General features: G+C 56.0%; 1 protein-coding gene across 7 annotated transcripts, besides 9 other annotated features; it reads right to left on the bottom strand.

The window, feature by feature from the left end:
• Nucleotides 193-19,400, bottom strand: VILL (villin like). Of its 7 annotated transcripts, NM_001385038.1 has the most exons (21): nt 16,549-16,592; nt 16,206-16,244; nt 13,646-13,791; nt 13,406-13,480; nt 12,912-13,117; nt 11,531-11,639; nt 10,191-10,301; nt 9,693-9,895; nt 9,210-9,288; nt 9,014-9,112; nt 8,328-8,466; nt 7,939-8,039; nt 5,785-5,922; nt 5,518-5,676; nt 4,803-4,982; nt 4,065-4,210; nt 2,979-3,123; nt 1,404-1,586; nt 1,126-1,197; nt 678-929; nt 193-436 (listed from the first exon to the last, which is right to left on the bottom strand). In NM_001385038.1, exons 3-21 carry the CDS (start codon nt 13,703-13,705, stop codon nt 323-325), a joined length of 2,571 nt encoding a protein of 856 aa, NP_001371967.1. In that variant the 5' UTR covers nt 13,706-13,791; nt 16,206-16,244; nt 16,549-16,592; the 3' UTR covers nt 193-322. The 7 variants fall into 7 exon arrangements, 5 of the variants coding, with proteins under 5 accessions (NP_001371967.1, NP_001371968.1, NP_056957.3 ...); NM_001385039.1 differs by lacking the exons at nt 16,206-16,244; nt 16,549-16,592 and adding an exon at nt 19,140-19,400; NM_015873.4 differs by lacking the exon at nt 16,206-16,244.
• Nucleotides 890-1,390: an enhancer, noted in NCBI's record as "H3K4me1 hESC enhancer chr3:38047479-38047979 (GRCh37/hg19 assembly coordinates)". NCBI's record gives its function as "activates a minimal SCP1, AML or CMV promoter by ChIP-STARR-seq in naive H9 embryonic stem cells {active_cell/tissue: H9 hESC(naive)}" and the evidence as "EXISTENCE:reporter gene assay evidence [ECO:0000049][PMID:30033119]".
• Nucleotides 3,759-3,808: a silencer, noted in NCBI's record as "silent region_14201". NCBI's record gives its function as "represses an Ori minimal core promoter by ATAC-STARR-seq in GM12878 lymphoblastoid cells {active_cell/tissue: GM12878}" and the evidence as "EXISTENCE:reporter gene assay evidence [ECO:0000049][PMID:35858748]".
• Nucleotides 8,147-8,316: a silencer, noted in NCBI's record as "silent region_14200". NCBI's record gives its function as "represses an Ori minimal core promoter by ATAC-STARR-seq in GM12878 lymphoblastoid cells {active_cell/tissue: GM12878}" and the evidence as "EXISTENCE:reporter gene assay evidence [ECO:0000049][PMID:35858748]".
• Nucleotides 9,195-9,765: an enhancer, noted in NCBI's record as "H3K4me1 hESC enhancer chr3:38039104-38039674 (GRCh37/hg19 assembly coordinates)". NCBI's record gives its function as "activates a minimal SCP1, AML or CMV promoter by ChIP-STARR-seq in primed H9 embryonic stem cells {active_cell/tissue: H9 hESC(primed)}" and the evidence as "EXISTENCE:reporter gene assay evidence [ECO:0000049][PMID:30033119]".
• Nucleotides 12,477-13,094: an enhancer, noted in NCBI's record as "H3K4me1 hESC enhancer chr3:38035775-38036392 (GRCh37/hg19 assembly coordinates)". NCBI's record gives its function as "activates a minimal SCP1, AML or CMV promoter by ChIP-STARR-seq in naive H9 embryonic stem cells {active_cell/tissue: H9 hESC(naive)}" and the evidence as "EXISTENCE:reporter gene assay evidence [ECO:0000049][PMID:30033119]".
• Nucleotides 13,126-13,420: an enhancer, noted in NCBI's record as "tiled region #7921; K562 Activating non-DNase unmatched - State 1:Tss". NCBI's record gives its function as "activates a minimal TATA promoter and a strong SV40 promoter by Sharpr-MPRA in K562 cells {active_cell/tissue: K562}" and the evidence as "EXISTENCE:reporter gene assay evidence [ECO:0000049][PMID:27701403]".
• Nucleotides 13,126-13,579: a biological region, named in NCBI's record as "Sharpr-MPRA regulatory region 7921".
• Nucleotides 13,130-13,579: a silencer, noted in NCBI's record as "fragment chr3:38035290-38035739 (GRCh37/hg19 assembly coordinates)". NCBI's record gives its function as "represses an EF-1alpha promoter that drives an FKBP-Casp9 reporter gene in an ReSE screen in phorbol 12-myristate 13-acetate-treated (for megakaryocytic differentiation) K562 erythroleukemia cells {active_cell/tissue: K562(+PMA)}" and the evidence as "EXISTENCE:reporter gene assay evidence [ECO:0000049][PMID:32094911]".
• Nucleotides 14,286-14,580: an enhancer, noted in NCBI's record as "tiled region #12639; K562 Activating DNase matched - State 5:Enh". NCBI's record gives its function as "activates a minimal TATA promoter and a strong SV40 promoter by Sharpr-MPRA in K562 cells {active_cell/tissue: K562}" and the evidence as "EXISTENCE:reporter gene assay evidence [ECO:0000049][PMID:27701403]".
• Nucleotides 19,401-19,802: the final 402 nt, after the last annotated feature.

The following is a 19,802-nucleotide window of genomic DNA, read 5'->3' as shown; positions in this document are numbered from 1 at the left end:
CCCTAGCACCTCACTCTCCACCTTCCTTGCACATAGTTGAGTAGGGCAGGGGTATCTGGAGAGACCAACGAGAAATAAACCCCTCTGTGGGGTGGCACTGAGAGCTCACACCCGCCAGCCCTGGAGGCCCCTTCCCCTGAGAGGTGGACCTGCTGAGTGGCCCGGGCTTGAAAGCACGCATACCACAGCTCGTATGGGCTGCCTGCTTTTACTGACACGCAGAGGATGACCAAAAGCCTCTGAGGGGAGTGGAAGCAGGGCCTCCCCAGCATTGTAGGTATGTTGGGGTCCAGGGGATAGGGGCAGTCGAGAGGGCTTGGGTTCAGAAGAAGCCCAGCTGCTTTTTCTCCTGCCGCTGCCTCCACGTGGCCATGCTGTAGAATTCCTCCTTGGATTTCCCAAAGATATCTTGGAAGTCAGAGTCTGAGAGATAGAACTGGGCAGGGGAGAGAGGGGGAGGTACAGGGTAGGGTGTCATCTGAGCCCAGAATCCTGCCCCACTCAGTAGTGTCAGTCATCCAGGGCTTGGGACTCCCGCATCTGTTTGCCCACCACCCCAGCTAGAAGACACATCTCCCGGGGCAGTTGCCCACTGCCCGCCACCAGTGGATCCTGCCTTGGGCTCCTCCAGCTCAGTGTCAGATGCACTAGTGCTGGGGCAGTGAGGGGGTGCCCACCTCCCTGCGGGCAGGGTCCACGCCCTCTGGCAGGTCCTCAACAGCCTGGTGCATCAGTTGTTCCCGGCGCAGGCCCCCGTTGATCGTGGCGCTGGTGCTGCTGACGGAGCTGCTGGTTCTGCTGCCAGCCGACTTGGGGCTTCGCACCAGATCATTCTCTGAGCTGTCCTGGGAGCCCTTGAGGGCCTGCAGGGCCACGGCACCTGCCCTGCCATTGCCCGGCCATCTGGATAGCCGCAAGTTGTTGACTTCCTGTCCAGAGAGGAGCCTCAGGCTGGGGAAGATGGGGAATCAGTAGCCCACAGGGAGGCTGCACTGAACCCACAGGCCTCTTACCTCCAACTGCAGCCCCTCCCACTTACAAGGGCCTGGCACTTCCCCTGCCCATCAGGACCATGCTGTCGGAGCCCAGGCCACTGTGGGGAAGGCTAGGGGCCCCAGGACTCACTGCTGTTATCTCAGAGATGGTTGATGCTGCTGCCGGGCTGCCATCCACCACTTCCTTGTGGGACGGGTGGCTCTGGAGCAAGAATCGGGGCAAGTATCAGGGCCAGGGCAGGAGAAGGGGGCACCAATGGGACACATGAGGGGCCTGAGGACAAGACCAGGTCTCTCGCACACACTGGCAATCCCCAGCCAGGGCAGTGCCTCCTCATTCCATTGGCCCAGGTCAGGTTCCTCTCCCCACAAATTAGGGTAGGGCTGGGGGTTTCAGGCCTCACTCACAGTCCACTTGTAGGGGTCCCAAGTGAAGAACCATCCAATGAAGGTGGGAGGCTCATGGCCCTGCTTGACCAGCACGATGGGTGTGGCCGGGCTCCTCCCTGCTGGGTGAGTCTTCAGGTACTCCTGGCCCCAGGCCACCGCCTCCTTCCACTCACTTGCAGCTTCCCCAAGCCACAGGAAGATCTGAGCCACAGAGGGGACCTGGCCTTGGGCAGGTGGAGGGGCTGCCCAGAGCTGACCCCTTCCTGTCCACTCCCTGTCCAGTTGTCCCAGACAGAACCCCACATACACATCCCTGGCCAAGCAGACACACCCAGCAAGCGGCTGTACCCACACACCCGTGAACACACGAGAAGGTCACAGGAATGCATGCATACATGCACACACACGTTCAATCCACACATTTTTTTTTTCTTGCATGATTTACCTGGAGATCAATCCACAAATACTTATTGAGCACCTACTGTGTGCCGGGCATTGGTCTAGGCTTTGGGGAGTCAACAATGAAAGAAAATGGACAAAAATCCCTGCCCTTATAGAGCTTTCATGAGAGAGCAAGTCACATGTATGTCTGGAGGAAAAGTGTCCTAACCAGAAGAAACAACCGGTGTAAAAGCCCCGAGGTGGCCGTGTGCCCGGCATGTTCAGGGAACACAAAGAGGCCATTGTGGCTGCAGCAGAAGCAGTGAGGGGGGAGCAGGGGGAAATTGGGTCAAAGAGTTGGGGCTGGCCAGGTCACGTAGGGCTGTGGTAAGAGCTCTGGGTTTGTTCTGAGTAGATGGGAGCACACAGCTTCATCACCAATTCAAACAGTGCTGTAGACACGGCCCCACAGAGATGCAGAGAACACACATTATTGCAGCTTACACAGACACACAGTCATCCATCGCCACACAGCCAGACAGCAAACCATAGCCACACACTGTCATCCACTGTTGTCAGACACAGAGCTGCATGCAAACACAACAGCACTTGTTTACACAGCCACGCACACCCGGCCAGTTATACCACTGTGCGCAGAAACACAGACCCACAAACACACCCATCCATCATTCGCCCACAGCCAGTCATAGTCTTGCTCACAGACACATTTTCACCAGTTGCCACTGGTCTGGCCAGTTCTAGCATCACGTGACCTCACAGTCACTGACAAAGTGTCACACACAGGTGCACGAAGGCAAACACTCACACCAAGCCACACACATGAATGATGCGATTGGGCATTCCAATCACAGTCACTCATGCAGCACCGACACATGCTCGGCCGCAGGCACTGTCGCTGGAGCCACACATAGTATCATAAGGCACACAGGGCCACACACAACTGCAAACATGGTCTCAGTTACCCCTGAGTTCCAACACACTCCTAATCTCCCGGAGTCTCACTGCTGCCACCTGGTGATGCACACTCATCCATGGTCTCATATGCACCGCAATGCAATTGCTCAGTGACAGGGTCAGACTCACCCACAGCCCTGTGTACAGAGGCAGATGGCTAGATACACACACACCCAGTTACACAAACAGAAACACACCCCCGTTCACAGCCCCACCAGGCAGGGATGGCCACCTTACCTCCTGCCAGGTGTCCAGTAACATGATGTCATACTTGTCCAGGTCCTCCTGGCTGAAGAACCCCACTTCTGCGAGGACCAGGCAGCCCATGTGGCTGGAGCACTCAAACAGTCGTGGCTGGAAGCTGGGGACCTCCTCAGGGAGCCTGGCCAGCACGGACAGCAAGGCTGTGAGCCACCCAGAGGGGCACCCCAGCCCATGGCACAAGTGCCCCACCCCAGGGCCTGGGAAGCCACTTCTCAGGAGTGGGAGCCCTGGGCCCTCCTCTGAGCCCCGTGGTTTCTCCCCGAGCACTCCGCTCTGCTCTGGGTACAGGGTCCCTCTCTGCTCATGGAGAAAGCTCTCGCCCCACCCAGCTGTGACGCAAGGTGCCCCATGAATTTCCCTAGGAGAGGGCTGCAGGGGTAGGGGAGGGCCTGAGCTGGAGTCTCGCCCTCCCTGGGATGGGAGGAGCTCCTCAGCCCACCCCTGGCAGAGAGTAGGTCTCCGGCCCAAAGTGGAAGGAGGCAAGCCAGGCTGGGAGAAGGAGACGGGAGTACTGAGCTCAGGAGAATTGTGGGGAGTGCAGCACATAAACCAAGCCCCACAGGCAGACCAAGAGCGACCAGGACTCAGCTCCCTCCTCCCCTTGAGGCCTCACTCCTACCTCCTACACACACCCTGTCCACTTACACACCACACACAACACCCTGAATACACCTGTTCTTGCACATCCACACACACTGTATACCCACACATCATATGACACTGTATACACACACACTGGGCACCGTGATCCCTGAGGACTGTAGGGTGGGGAAGGGTGCTTTGTCCCCTGGCCCAGGACCAGGACAATGCAGGGAGGGGATGCTGCCAGCAGAGGTCGCCACTGCCCCCACTCTCCCCAGCATCTGAGAGACGCAAGTTACCCAGGCCTGGGAGCGAAGCGTGGGCTGTACTTGTGGGAGCCTCTGTGAGTGGGAAACTGAGAGTCCTTGGTTCTAGTCTCGTCTTGCCAGCTCTCTGTGTGAATCCCAGTCACCCACCCTCCTCTCTGGGCCTCAATTCCTCCTCTGGGTAAGAACACTCTCCTCCCAACCCTGTTACCTCTTGTTGCTGGGGTAGGGGGCCCGGCCTCCCAGGGCCTCCCAGAAGTGGGGAGGCTCCTGACCCTCCAGCACCGTTTCCTCATTCTTCCTGGAAATGACAGTGACCACCACCCGTGCCATCTCACGCTGATCACCATTACAGCCCTAGCAGGCAAAGAGATGGCTCAGGCCCTGCATGAGGAGGGGCCTTCACCTCCGGCCCCACGTCCCGTTCACAGGGTGTATGGGGTGGGGCTGGGCCCAAGTCACAGGAGGCCTAAGCTGACAGCAGGACACCAGTGAACAAGGCATCTTCCTCACCCTACAGGCCTGTGTCCCCAGTTGATCTGGATCGCAGGGTCTGGGACCCTCGCAGGGTCCAGAGCATGGGATAGGAGGCCCCCAGGCTTAGAGGGTCAGTCATAGTTTATGCTGAATATTAGAGAAAACTCCAGCAAACTGGCATAGGCCTCCCCTTTTCCCAAGAGACCTGGGAAGGGACATGCCCTGTGCTCCAGGCAGTAAGGAGGGGAGGCGGCCTGGGCCTGGCTCTGACCTGCGGACTCTCAGGTCCACCTGTCACTTTGTAACTTTCCCCAAGTTCTAGAGGGGACCCTGTGGCTTCTTCCCCTCCCCATTCCCCCCATCGGCCTATCTGAGGCTGGACTCAAAGTCTGCATGCCCTGTGGAGAGGACCCACCCCCAGCCTGGCACCACTACATCTGGGCATGAATCAAGTGGTCAGTGCTGTGGGTACCTTCCCAAACCAGAGGTAGCAGACGCTGGCTGTGACCAGCAAGAAGATGTCACTGGAGTTGAGGGATGAGGCACGGGCTGGCACCTCCATGGTCCTGGTGTTGTGGCTGTCAGTGCCTTGCACTTGGAAAAGCCTTGTGGTGGATGCTGACTGCCCCTTTCCATGGTGCCCAGCTCTCTCCTATAGGAGAGCAAGGCCTCAGGCTGGGCAAGGGCTCCCAGGGGCGCCTTCCTGTCCCAGTGTGGGACATATTGCCTCAGAGCTCAGGGACCCTTGCTTGAAGCCATCAAGGCCCTCACTGGTGATTTCACATGAGGAGTACAGGACCCTCTAAGTGTGGAGTGCAGGAATCCCATCAGTCTGGGACAGGGACAGACCCTTTTTAAATGGACCTTTCCCCCCATCTCTGAGTGGTTGGGGCATGGGTGCTCAGGCCTTGGAGGTGGAAAGTGGGGACCAGGTTTGCTAGTGTGCAGCCCCAGGCAAGCCCCTGGCTCCCTTTCAACTCAAATTCCTCATCTGGCTCTGGGACTGGGGAGGGAAACTCAGGCAGGGGGCCAACCTTGGAGCTCCTGGGCCTTGGACAAGCTCTGGGAAACTAGGGGATGATAAGCAGGCCCCAGGCCCAAAGAGAAGGTGCTTAGAAGTGTGTGCGGGGGCCATGGCCCATGCAGAACTGGGCAGGCTGTGGCCAGAGTGGCAAGGTGAGACCTACCTGGAAGATCACCAGCTGGCCCTGGAAGATGGCGAGGAAGTGGGGGGGCTCGCTGCCCATGGTCACATGCTCCTGTACTAGGACGCCACCATACATGACATCTAGTTCCTCAGCGTTGCTGTTCAGGGCCTCAATCTCATCCGCAGTGGCCTGGTGGCCCTGCAGGTGGGGGCAGTGAGTGAGGGCCTGGCCCAGCTCTCACATTTCACTCCCAGAGCCCAGCCCTTGGGCTTTAAGGTGAGTGCTGCCTCCCTCAGGCTGGCACACCTGCCATAGGTACAGGATGTACTGGACACGGCCCAGCCTCTGGTATGTGTAGAGCACAAGGTAGCAGTTGCCTGCACACAGCTGTCCATGACGCTTGGGGTCCACGGGCTGCCTGTGTAAGTCCTGGATGCACCACACCTGGGGAATAAGGGACCAATGGGCACAGGTGGCTGCTCTTCCTGAACCAGCCCACCCATCCTGTACCCAACCGGAAAGCTCTCCCCAGCCTCTGAGGCCTTCCTCATCCACGCAGGCCAGGGGCCCACCCTCAGCTCCAGGCCCATTCTGGGCCTTGTGCTGGGCTTTGTACAAGGATCTGCAGGTGACCCTTTCCCCACGGACCCCTGAAACCCACCACACTTGGGAGATGGGCCCAATCCCAGCCACATGCCCAGCCCTAGTCCCAACCCCACCAGCCACAACCCTGGTTAGGGGCAGTTCAGTCCCCTCCCAGCTGCTCGCTGCTCAGGCCAGGGCAACAGAAGCCGGGCGGAAAGGGAAGCCTTGGAGCTCTTGAATGAATTCCCTTTTATCCAGTGTCATTTAGAAAACACAAAGCCTGTTCAAAGACTGAAGGGGAAACACTGTCTCACATCTGTCAGTGTAGTTTCTTCTTCCTGTGGGTGGCAGAGCCTGGAGCCAGGCGGACTCTGGTCAAATCCCAGGTAGGCCCTGTGTTGGCAGTGACATTGTTCTAAGCTTCGGGCCTTTCCCACCTGTATATTGGGGATGATGACGCCTCCCTTACCTCACCTCTGCATGGCAGGAGACAATGCCTGGGTGTCCTTTCCCACACTGACCCTGACAGTTGTCCCTGGGGAGCCGACCTCCAGACCAGAGCAGCCAGAGCCCTGTCTTTCACAAAAGTGGCTGACTTGACTACAGGCCACCTAACAGTGGCAATTACCGGGCAGCCAGGACCCCTGGCTCAGGCCCTGTCTCTGCCTGCCTGTCCACTGCCTACCAGGAGGGATCCTGTCCCTGACTTTGTGCTTGGCACCTGAGTCCCAGGGCTCTCTTTCCCTCCGTCCCTCGCCTTTCCTTCTGCTTTCCTGTCTCCCTCTCCCACTGTCTGGCTCTCTGTCTCTCTCTGTGTATCCCATCTATCACTGACCCTCCCTCTCTTCTCCCTGTACCCCCTCTCTCCCTGCTCTTCCTCCACCCCACCTCCTCCTCCCTTCCCTCTGCCTCCTCCTCATCCCCTGTCCTTCCCAGTCTTTTCTTCTCTGTCTCTCTTTGTGCTCCTTCCCTGTCTTCCTCTTTCCCTGTCTCCCCCTTCTTCCCCCTTGCCCCATCTCCTCCTCTCTCAGTCTCTTCCCACTCATCACTTCTGTCCATCCATATTAGGGCAAAGGAAGAAGGAAATCTTGCCTTTTCTCTGACCTCCACCTACCTCGAGAACTAGGACCCCTCGCATAGGCCCAGCAGTTCTGTTCCCACAAGACCACAGGATCCCCACATCAGCCTTGGGGCCAGATGGGACCACAGTTTCTGACCCCACTTTATTTAAAAACTAGGGCCTAAAAAATTCAGGGCTCTGCCTAGGGGGTCAGCCAACAAGTCAAGATACAACCACACCCTCTACAGAGCCTGGAAGTAGCCCTCAACCCCTGCGTCTCGCAGGACACTGGGCTGAGACCAGATGAGTGGTTGACAGTGTATGGCTGTTAATTGGGGTTGGGTGTGTGGGGCTGTAATTGATGATGTGTGATCGTGTGTCTGTGTTGGTGTGTCTCTGCGGATTGATGGTTGTGTGTGACCGTGGTCATGTCTGATGTAGAGTTTTTGCAGCTTCATATTTGTGGTTGTGTACTTGGCTGTGATTATGTGCAATTACAAGGTGTTAGTATGTGTGTCTGTATAAGCATATGTTTGATTTTGTCCTACATGTGACTACAGGGAGAATTTAAGTGTCCAAGTGTTACTGTACTGTGTGTCTGTGTTGTGTGAGTGCCCGTGGCTGTGTATGATTAGGCGTGACTATGTATGAACTGCCTGCTAGGAGAGTATGTAAATGTACACGTGTCCCTTTGTGTCCCTGATTGTGTGTGGATGTGCACCTGGGTCACTTTAGATAGCAGTCATACCGTTTACCTGTAGGCAAAGCTTACCTCCGTGTGCCCATCTTCCCCCAGCTAACCCAGTACCCCTCACCTCCACCTTCCCAGAGCCGTCGTCCACCATCCTGAGCTGGGCCGCTAACTTAGGCTGGGTGTGCAGCTTGCCCACGTCCAGCTTTACATGAATCGATTTATCTGAAGGGGGGACAGTAGGCGTCAGTGGCGCCCTCTGCCCCCCCCCAACACCATCTCCGCCCCGCCCACTCCTCAACCATCCCTCCAAGATTCCAGGTCCCGCCGCGTCCTCCGCAGCCCACGCCCCTTTCCTCATCCTGAGGCTCTGTTCCGCCCCGTGCAGACCAGGCCCCGCCCCCTCCGGCCCCGCCCCGCCCGCTCACCCATCCCAACGAGTTGCCGATTCCTGCCAGGCCCCGCCCCCGCCAGTCCCGCCCCGCCCCCGTCAGCCCCGCCCCGCCCGCTCACCCCTCCCGCCGAGCTTCTGGTTCCTGCGCCGCTTCTCAGACCAAGTCCGGAAGAGCTGCTTGAACGCGGCCGACTCGGCGCCGTCGTTCACCACCTCCACGTTGGTGTAGGTCGGGTAGCCCTTGGCCTGGATGAAGCCCTGGGGCGGAAGGCATCGTCAGTCCTGCGACCCTGAGAGTCCACTGCCCCACTGCCGCTCCTGGGGACCTACCGCTCTGGGACAGCCGAGCTCCAAGAAGCGTTAATTAACCGAGCTCATGACCCACTTAGCGAATTGACTCTGTCACCACCGACTTCTCTGAGGTCCCTGAGGGCAGGCAGGGCCCCCTTAGTCTAGGCCTCGTGCAGGACAGGCCATGTCAACCCTCACGGACCCCAGACAGAGAGAGCCCTGTCTCCTCCCCAGCCCCACCCTCAGAAAGCGGGACCGCCCAGTCAGTAGGGCCCCAGACCTGAAGGCAGGGCCACGTGCCCCTTTTACACATGGTTTCTCAGAGGCCACCTGGTCTTTACTCTCAGGGCTCCCAGGGCAGGGCTACCTCCCCTTTAAGACTCCAGCATAGGATTTCCCAACTCAAACTCTAGGGGAGGGCTGATTCCTCCCTTAGACCCTGGGGCGGAGCTGCCTCCCCACTCAGACCCCAGGGCAGTGCTCTGTTCCTCTCAGACAGAGCCCCAGGGCTCACCACAGCCCGGCTGAAGGCAGCCTTTCTCTCCTGGAGGCTAGACATGCGTCCCTGCCACACATAGATCTTGAAGCCACCCTGGTCCAGGATGTAGAAGTCCTGGGAGCAAGGGTGGGGCTGGTCAGTAGGTGGTCCAGACTGGGCTGGGGTTGTGGATGGGGAAGGATGCAAGTAGCTGGGGCCAGGCCTTCCTCACCTCCTCCTGCAGCAGGTCCTGGGTCAGTGGGGGGGTCGCCAACTCCAGGACCACCAGGTCTTTGCCCTTCTCATAGACACTGGGGGGACAGGAACCCAGGAGTGGCCAGCCCAGCCCCTCCCTGATCTGTCTCCACTCCAGCCCCATTTAGGACCCCACCCCAGTCCCTCAGAGACAGAAGGCATGGGGGCTGGGGCCCCGAGTTGTAGTCTTCACTTTTACTGCAGCCTTGCTGTGGAGCTTTAGGCAGCTCCCTGGCCCTGGCAGGGCGCCACAGTCCCCCTGTATGTACAATAGGTTTCTCAGCAAGGCAGCCACATGCCATGGAAGAGTACAGGCTGGACCCACGGTCCACATGACCTGTCCCAGAAACCCAGCAGCCTTTGCTGGAGGGCCTTCTAGAGATGCCGTGTTATTGCAGTAGTGATGGACACAGAGTCCTGGACTGTCCCACCCACCCCTGCCCACCCCAGGGGTACTCACTGGTACAGGCGAACATTGGCCTTCTGCAGCTGGTTGATATCCTTGCTGGGCGTGGCGGCACGCAGGCTGCCCACCCTGCGGCCCAGCACAGCCTCCATGATCTGCATGAGGTCCGGGGCTTTGGCCTCATCATCCACCACACCAATCTGTGCACGACCACCACCACGTTCCCTGTCCCGGAGGCTGTAGGTCAAAGCCAGCCCCTGCGGGAGAGGACCTGGGAGTCAGGGTGTCACCAGTGTGCCCTCTCACAGCAGAGACTTCTCCTGTCACTGCTCAGCTCCCAGAGGCTGATGGGGAGAAGGGCTGATGTCCCCTCATCCTGGCATCCAGGGGGACACCAACAATGCAGGGTCTGAACTCAGCTTGTAACTCATAGGCGTTTCTTGGGTTGTAGCAGAGCCAAGCCCAACTCTTTGGGTGGCCGGAGGATGGTCAACTGGAGGATCATTCCCCGCCCAAGCCCCGTACTCCCCAGTTCCTTGGGCAGACACTGACCCGAGCCTTCTCAGAAATGCTGGTCTTGGGCCCATTCCACTGAATCATCATCTTGCCTAGGTCCAGCAGGAAGATGTCACCCTTATTAAAGCTGTTCCAGGAGAGCTCCACCTGCCAGAGCCAGGGAGAGAGACAGAGTGTCATACCACCAGCATCCGCTAGAGGGGAGCATAGCTGGGATGTGTCACGTGTGCATGAAGCTGTATGCAAACTGGGTGTACGTAGGCATGTGTGACTGTAGATAATGCTGCATTCCACAGGGTGTACATGACTTATGACACTTCTCACTCAGTGCATGTCTGTTGCTGTACATGTATACATGTACACATGTATACAGGTGGGGTGTATCTGTTTATCTTTTGTGTGTGTGCATATACACATGTATGTATATGGGGACATCACATGTGAAGAAGTGTGCTTATGGTGACAGTGAATACCTATGGATGAAGATAGTCTCCAAACGGACACACTTTTGAGAGTAAAAGGGAGTACTTTAGATAATTATGCCAGGATAATAGGAGAAACATGGGGCTTCATGGTGTCCCTGAATGACCAGAGATGTATGGTCACTGGGTCTGTGGGTGACATGCAGAGCCTATGTGGGATTGTCTCTGTGTCACAGGCTGCCTATGCAGACTCACTTGCATACCTCAAGGGTTACCATTCACACTGTAGACGTTGTACACCTGAATGTTCATTACACCAAATTCTGGCCAGATGGCAGCAAAATGTTTTGTTCTAACAAAACCAGTATTTTCCTGTAATTTCCTGACAGATGGAAGAAAGGGGCACTGTTCTGATTTGCACAAGGGCACTCTATGGACCAGAGGAGCACCCGGGGATAACAGTGGGAGACAGTGTGTGTGCATATAGGTGACAATGACAATGTGTGTGAGAGAGTGCGAGGTTATGCACCACCTCTCACTGTGCTGCTAACAAGGACCATTCACAGGCGCCATATCATCTGCCCCATCTGCCCAAGTTCTTTTTTTGTTTCAGAGACAGGGTCTTTCTCTGTCACCCAAGCTGCTGGAGTACAGTGGTGTCATCATGAATCACTCCTGGGCTCAGGCGATCCTCCTGCCTCAGCCTCCCAAGTAGCTGTGCCCATGTTCTCAATATGTCCCTGAGATAGACGCATAAACAAAAGGTCCGGGGAGCAGTGGCAGAAGTGGGGCTAGAAGCCTGGTGTCCTCTCTGTTCTCCTCATTCAAGACCATCTGGGAATGCTGACAGCTCCTTGTTCCCCACAACCCCAGCCAATTTCCAACCTCCTTATACCTCAGTACACCCAGTCTGAGCCGAGTTCAGAGGTCAAGAGGCTCCCCTGGCAGCCTCACCTCAGTGGCAGACACGTGCTTCCTCCCTTTGATGTGCAGCAGTCGCTGGATGTTGAACAAGTTGGTCTCCACATGCTTGAGGTCAGATGCTAGGCCTCCCTTCCTGTAGCTGAGGTGGGAATAGCAGGAGGGTATATACATTCTGTGTATATAAGAACACAGACTGCCATGTGCATGAATGACTGCAGATGTGAGCACGTGCACGTATGTGCCTGCTTCATACATGCACTGGAGTCTGTGTGAACACATGTATGTATAAGTACATGGGTGCACACATAGGGCATGAGTGTGCATTCATTTCCATGTGTAGTGCACTTCCATGCGTAGTCATGTGGACACATGCATATATGTGTACATGTACATACATTTGGGGGCACACTGTGTATTTGTTTATCCCTGTAAGTCTAGATGGTGAGTGCATGAAGGTGGGCAACAGCATATATGTGTGTAGGTGAACATGGATATTCACACATGTCCATCTATAGGTGGACATACATGAGGGTGGTGTGTGTTTCTGCATCTGCGCATATGTTTGTGTGCATGTGTTCATGTATATGCTATATGCATATATAGGTTCAACTGTATGAAATGGAAATGATCAAATAGCAATTTCCTATATTTCCAAATATATTGCTAGTGTTAATTTAAAACACCTGTGAAGCAATTTACAGCGAAAGATATATTCCTACCAGCACAGTAACATAAAAGCAAACTCAAAACAACATTGGTGTCTGCTCCTAGGTATATACCAAGGGAAATGAAAACATTTGTCCACACAAAAACTTGTATACAAATGTTCATAAAAACAGATTCATAGCAGCCAAAAAGTGGAAACAACTCAAATGTCTATTAAGTGATGAATGGATAAATAAAATGTAGTATATTCATAAAATGCAATATTACTTGGTAATAAAAAGAAGTAATAACACATGCTACAACATGGATAAACCATGAAAACAGTGTGTTAAAACAAAAAGATCCCGTCAGGGAAGACCATTTGTTGAATGATTCTATTTCTATGACATGCCCGGAAGAGGCAAATGTATAGACAAAGCAGATGAGTGGTTGCCTAGGGCAGGGGATGGGGGTGTTGGAGGGAAATGGGGAGTGGTGGCAAAGGGGTATGGGGCTTCTTTTTAGGGTGATGAAAATGTTCTAAAATTGTGGTGATGGTTGCACACAACTGTTAAAAATCACTGACATGTATATGTACTTTAAATGGGTGAATCGTATGGCGTATGAGTTGTATCTCAATAAAGGTGTTACCCAACCCCTCCCGGCTTGCCCCATTCAGGGATGTGGACGATGGCCATCCCAAGACTGCCCCAGCCAAGGCACCGCCTCCACGGCTCCCTCCTGCCCCGGTCGCCCCCGCACTCACATGATTCCCGGGCGGAAGTAGCTGCAGAAGCAGTCGGACTCGTGGCCCTGCGCCTCGCGGTGCAGCACGGTCTGGCCCCCCAGCTCGTCCTGTAGGCGCTGCTGGAAGGCCTCCGCAGCGCCCTGCGCTTCCGCACCCGCCTGCTTCCCGACCCAGTAGTGCAGGTCGCTGGACGCCCCCTGCGTGGCCTTCGGGCTCTGGGGGACCTAGGGTCCGGGTGTTTGTGTATATGTGTTGCGGGGAAGACGGAGGTGCGGGTGGAGAAGGGGAGGATGTACCAAGGGCCATGGGGAGACGCTAGGCAGGGGCTTCCGCGGAGATCAGGAAGTGGGAGGGAAGGACTAAGAAGCCTCAACGGTAACCGCCCCCTTGTGGGATGTGATTCTCCGGCTCTCAACTTGCCGCTTCCCAGGGCAGAGTTTATGCCTGTGCCTCAGTCTCCCCAGTGCCGGGCCATGCCACCCCTCTCAGGCAGACTTCCCCAAGCGACTCACGTGGAGGATGACATAGCAGTGTTCCTCAAAAAAGTTCCCGTAAGCCCCCTCGGGTACCGGCACCATCTTCCGGTTCTGGGAGAGGAGAGTTCCCTGTAACAACTCAGGAGGCCTCTACCCATGACACCCGCTGGGGTGGGGTGGAAGAGGACGCTCTGAGTTGGGGGCGGGAGAAGCCTAGTGTGGAAAACCCCACGCTCTTCCATGTCACCAACTCTCCTATTTGGTCGTGCCTCTCACCTCAGAGATCCATATGTGGAGGCCTCCCTGCATGCCTGGGAGGCCCTTGCTGATGTCCATCGCAGGCCAGGCAGGAATATGGGACGACACAAGGAACAACAGCCAGAGTTCTCAGGCTGGAGACCGACACCTGGCTACCTGTACAACTTCATTATAGAACATGACTTTTATTAGGAGGGCTCTGTAAACACACAAATGTCAGCACACAGACTATGAAGACTCAGATTCTGCAGCAAGTGACAGGCTCAGCTGATATGAGTGGGTTGGGCAGATTAGGCATAAACACTTGACAATTTTTTTTTCCAGTTTTTTCGAGACAGGGTCTTGCTCTGCCACCCTAGCCTGCAGTGCATGATTCGAACACACTTCACTGCAACCTCCACCTTCTGGGTTCAAGTGATCTTCCCGCTTCAGCTGACAAATTCTTGAAACAGAGCTGAACTCTGTATAAACACAGGCTCTGCAAACAGCCACAGGCTCTGCAAATAGCGATTTAGCTTGCTCGAGTCTGTGCTCTGTGGTTCTGCGCGTGCAGAGAGGGAGAGAATGAGAGGGCAGTGAATGACAGTGACATGGAATGAGAAGTACCTGGGGGAAGGAAGGGACCCTCACTTCTGTCGATTTTGTTATGTCTTGGCACTTCATATTCAATTACCTGAGGCTTCCCTGCACCACTCCTTCAGAAACCTGTGTGTGAGGTTTGGTCCAAAAGTCACTTCTTTCTGAATCTCTCACTCAGGGTGACCCTGGTGTGTTAGTCCTTCCCTCCTCCCCCTCCACTCCCACTGTGTCTTATCAATAGCAGGAACACCCTTGGCTCCAGGCAGAACAAGGTGAGGGGACAGAGTTACAGAATCAGGTGTGGCACAATAGGTGTCATAGAGTGGCTCACATTCCTTACACCTTTGTCAGGGCCCCTGGTTTGGCCCTGGTGAGTTCACAGTACACTGTGGCAACACCCAACATGTAGCCAAAGAAATGTGGGAGCGGAGGAGGCTGTGGGGCAGGGGAGCAGGGGCAGAGTGGGCTGTCCTTCTAGGGGGTTAGAGCTGGGTCCGTCACAGCTCACAGCTCCTCCCGACACCCTATGGAAACCATAGGATGGTTGTTGGCTATGGTCTCCCTCACCAGAGCAGCAGATTCCTGAAGGCAGGGGTTTGTCTTGTTGTTTACTGTGGGATCCCAGCTGCCCGGCCCCCAGCAGGTACTCAGTAAGTACTTGTTGAATGAGTGAAGTGTGCTGCCCTGCGACTGGACTGAGTGAAAATGAATAGAGAAGGGAGCCGTCCGTGCACCCTAATTGCCCCAAGAACTGTTGCCACAGTTGATGGCCTGTTGGTGTGACAATGACATGAGTGACAGGCAGACATAGTGGCCATGAAAAGGTGATCTCAAGCAACAGAAAACGTGAGGACATTGGGTGACAAGCAGGATGTCCACCAGTGGTGGCCCCGTAGAAGGACACTGAGTAATAGGCAGAAATAGTGACCAGTGACAGTTACCAGAGGCCCAGGCAGGCAGTGACCAGAGGTGCAGACAGAAACTGTGAGCTGTAGCTCATGGAAGAGTACAACATGGTGACAGAGTGCCAGAAAGACTACTGGATGGCCTCAGAACAGTGTCAACCAGGGCACATGGGGGACTGGAAAGTCAAACTGGCAGCCAAAAAGTTGGGACTCGGCTGGTGTCACTGGGAGAGGCAGCATCGCCCCCAGGGGTCCGGGAGCCCGTCTGATATCCAGCCCCAGCCCGTAGAGCCAAGCCCTCAGCTGCCAGGGCTGAGGTCGCACTCGCATGGCACCTGTGTTCATTCTCTTTCACCTGGACTCCAGGGAGGAATGGGTGCTCAAAGATTGGGGGCCTCCTCCCTCCCCACAGTGCCACCTCCAGCCTCCCAAGCCCTCCTGCCCTCTTTCCTCAGGGGAACCCCCCACAGTGCCCCCTCCAGCCTCCCAAACCCTCCTGCCCTCTTTCCTCTGGGGAACTCCCTTTCACCACCTTCCCAAGTGGGAACCCTCCTATCCCTGGTCCTCTCCCTTCTCCTAGAAGCCCTCCTTCTCTTCCCTGGGGGTGCACTTCCTCCACTCAGGGCCCCTTTCTCTTCCGGATGCCCAATTCCTTCCCTGGTTTCCCTTTCTCTCCCCATGCCCCACGCCTCCGCTTTTCCAGGGTTTCCCTCTGTCCCCACTGGGTGCCCCTGCCTCCCCCTGGTTCTTCTTTCTCCCCTCTGATTTCCCCTCTCCCCTGGGATCCTTCCCTTTTTCTCCCATTTTTCCTCCCCAGGCACCTCCTCCTTTCCTGGTTCCCTGTCTTCCCCTACACCCCTCCCTCTCTCCCTCCCCACCCTCCTCCCCAGGTCTTTCCTTCTCTTCCCCAGGCTCCCCTCTCTTTCCCGGGGCACTCCCTACCCGCTTCACACACCCCCTCTTCTCTCCCCCTGCCCCTCGTGTCCCTGGGTGCCTCCTCTCTCCTCGCTTTCTCCCTCCTCCAGTGCCTCTTTCTCTCCCTACAGGAGCCCTTCCTTCTTTTGTGGGTACCTTTGAAGGGAGCCCGAGATTACCTTGCTCAGTTTCCATGGAGCAGGGAGTGGTGCCGCCCTCTAGAGTGAGGGGAAAGGAGGATGGGGCCAGGGTTGGGGGCAGGCACACTGAATTTGTGGGCCACGGACTTCCCTGCCCATCTACAAAATCTGCCACTTTCTTCCCCTTGGGCTGCCGGCCACAGCTGCCCTGCCCCATCAGTGTTTTCACCTGCTGGGCTGCTGCCGCCTCCCAATTCTGCCGCGGAGGCTCTGTGGCCCTGAGCCCTGGGACCCTATGCTCTATGCCCTTGACTTGAATAGCCCACTCTGCCCCACTGGTTCCCTGGAAACCCCCGCCCCCCAACTCTCTGCCCAGGCCTACCTGCTGGAAACTGCTCCCGCGCCTTCGCCCTGCCTGTGGGCAGTGCTAGGCCTGGCACGGGGCCAGTCTCTGCCTCCCTACTCCTGGTCCCCACCACTGTAACTCAATCCTAGCTCCTGCCCTGCAGGACACACCCCACCACACAGTGCTCAGCGGGCTAGGCATTCACTTAGTCAGCCAGTCAACAAATATCGAGCAAGCCGTCGGGACCAGCGCCCTCCCCAGGGCTATGGTTAAGTCTCCCAGGTCTCACTGCCTGGGTACCAGTGGCCAGAGAGAGCAGGGGATGGAGGCCTGGACTGGGCTAAGAGGTGGGGTGTGGAAGATACTGGGATTTCCTTCTCTGGAGTACTAGATGGGCCCCTGATCCCTCACCCGGAGTGGTGGGCTCCGCCTGGACCAAGAGGGCCAGGCCACTCCAGCAAACTTTAGGAGGAAGTAGGACCAAGGCTGGGGGCTGTGGGGTCAGGCTCTGTGAGACCCAGCTCACTTCAGGAGGGGAAGGTGGTCAGGGCTCCCTCTAGATATTTCTGCTGTCCCTACCCAAATGTGAGCTCACTGCCTGGCACAGCCCTCCTCAGGGAACCCTGATACCCATCATGGGAGAGGCCAGTCCAGCTCTTGCAGCGAAGACACCTCTCCCTCACCTCAGCTGCCACTCCACTGCCACTCTCTCTCTCTCACTGTGGGGTGGAGGGGCTGCAAACAGAGCCTTCCAGAAACTCCAGGGGCACAACCTCCTCTTGGCGGCTTAGGGCCTCAGTCCCAGCCAAGGCCCAGCCAGCGTGGGCCATCCCATCAAAGCCACGCTGCTAAAGCCTGCCCACTGCCCAAGACCCTCTCCCTGTGTTCAGTCTTCACCCCACAAAGGTCTCTGTTACAGGGGTCTGGGGACTTGGGGACTCGGGGGCAGTCTGTGTCCAGCAAGACCTACAGCTAGTGTGTGACTGTGTTTAACAGACACAATGCAGGGTCCCTGTGTGTGAAGGGATGCCTGTGTCACAGGCATTTGGCTCGTCCCCATGTGTGCCATTGCCTGTCCGACCTCATGTGTGTGCCTGTATCCTGGCATGTCTGTCTGATCCCCACTTGGGACAGGGACCCTGTCTGTGACAGTGGCAGTGTGTCCACTGTACCTGTGCATACCCGTTTCCCTGTCCCTTTTTGTCTCTGTGCCCAGGAAGACTCTGTGTCCTCACTTCTTCCCACCGACTCTTCCCCCATCTCCCCTCAGCCCACCCGCTCTGTTTGTTCTTGAATTCCCTGGCAATGGCTCTTTCCTAAGTCACCAATGCCCGCTGTCAACCAAGCGGCAGTCAGTTCAGTCACCATTGTTCCTTCCCCTCTCACTCCACCTGTCTCCTTCAGGCCTCTAAATGGCAGCAGGAGCAGAGCTTGGGCCTTCACTCCTGTTTGTTTTCCAGTTTCCTTCCCAGTTCCAGTCTGAAGGCTGCAAATAGCATGGAAACGCCAGTGTCTCCCTGACCCAACTCCCCCGAACCTTGCCCCGGCCTAAGTCTCCATCTTCCGTCTGTCACATCTCTCCCAGCACGTTTGGTCTCACATTTAACATCGCCTCAGGCCCCTCCCAGATCTACCCTCTCTGAGCCCCAGGAACACGTTCAGTGTGAACATCCAGAGGGTGCTTAGGCCCCAAACCTGGAGTTGCCCTGATTTCTCTCTCCCGCAAGCCACTGGCCCGTCGGCAGCTGGTTCATGGTGGATCCTGGGCCTGGCCCTCCCTCTCACGCCTCCTGCCTGCTCCGGAGCCAGCCTCCCTCTGTGTCTCTGGGTCTGCCTGGCCGCTACGACCATCCTACCACAGTAGCCAGAGGGATCTTTTTTCCTAAGATTTAAAAAAATTGTGGTAAAATATAAAAAATCTTTTTTTCACAAGATTTAAAAAATTGTAGTAAAATATACTTAAAATTTACCATTGTATCCCCTTTTTATTTATGTATTTATTTGAGACAGAGTTTTGCTCTTGTTGCCGAGGCTGGAGTGCAATGGCATGATCTTGGCTCACTGCAGCCTCCGCCTCCCGGGTTCAAGTGATTCTCCTGCCTCAGTCCCCTGAGTAGCTGGGATTACAGGCATGCACCACCACACCCGGCTAATTTTGTATTTTTGGTAGAGACGGGGTTTCACTATGTTGGTCAGGCTGGTTGCGAACTCCTGACCTCCAGCGATCCACCGGCCTCAGCCTCCCAAAGTGTTGGGATTACAGGCGTAAGCCACCACGCCCGGCCTGTATCCACTTTTAAGTATACGGTTCTGTGGTGTTAAGGACACTCATATTGTTGTGCAACCACTGCCACCATTTCCAGAACTCTTTCATCTTACAAAACGGAAACTCTGCAACTCTGCACCCATTAAACATAGACTCCCCATTGCCCCCAGCCCCTTGCAACCACCATTCTATTTTCTATGATTTTGACTAACTAGAGGGAAAATTCAACCTCAGAATTTAACCATAAACCCGCTCACATCACCCCCCTCCCCAAACCTTCCAGTGGCTTCCACTAAAACTGGGATGAAACTCTCAATGGCCGTTCCCGGCTGCCTCTCCCATCACTCTCCCCATGGCTTACTGTGTTCTGGCAATATGATTCCTTGTGTCCCTTGAAGACGCCCAGGTCGTTGTCTGCAGACCTTTGCACTGCAGGCTTCTCTGCCTGGAAGCCCCACTCTCTATATTCCCGTAGCTGCTCCTTTACTGCATTTAGGTCCCAGCCAAAATGGCAGCCCCACAGAGGGCCCTTCCCGCCCTCCTTAGCCACAGCAGTCTCCCTCCTCAGACATCACCACTTTCCTCATCGTGGTGCTCCAAGAAGCTGGTCTCTTTGCTAAGTGGGATCTTTGGTTAGTGTCTGTGTCCCAGCTGGACTGTGAGTCACTGTGGGCAGGGCCTTGCTGTTGTCCACCTGTGTCTAGAACGGTGCCTGGCGCACTGCAGTTGCTTAATAAAACGTTTGCTGACATGTTTCTGTGGCCTGCGCCTGACCCAGTGTGTGTGTGTGTGTGTGTATCTGGACCCTTTACTGGGCTCAGTCCTCCTTCTCTGAGAAGCTGAGGGGGTGACCCCTTTCCACTTTGGTTGTGGGCCAGATACCCCAGCTGGCACAATCCAGTGTCAGCAGCTTAGTGGGGGGCATGAGAACTTCTCCAAGGCCCCAACCCTCGGAATTGTCTGGGTCTCTGCAAACCAGAAGATGTCACCTGGAGAGAACTGCCCTGTCCAGAACCACCTACTC

This window comes from Homo sapiens, chromosome 3 (assembly GCF_000001405.40).
Source record: "Homo sapiens chromosome 3, GRCh38.p14 Primary Assembly".
Classification (NCBI taxonomy): Eukaryota; Metazoa; Chordata; class Mammalia; order Primates; family Hominidae; genus Homo; species Homo sapiens.
This window is presented reverse-complemented; position numbering and strand designations above follow the sequence as displayed.

Coding starts and splice junctions, on each gene's coding strand:
- VILL (NM_001385039.1), bottom strand. CDS start 13,705: ATGGACATCAGCAAGGGCCTCCCAGGCATGCAGGGAGGCCTCCACATA. Junction 8,040..8,327: donor CCAGAAGCTCGGCGGGAGGG/GTGAGCGGGCGG, acceptor TCCCCCCTTCAG/ATAAATCGATTCATGTAAAG. Junction 1,198..1,403: donor GGGACCCCTACAAGTGGACT/GTGAGTGAGGCC, acceptor TTCTTGCTCCAG/AGCCACCCGTCCCACAAGGA.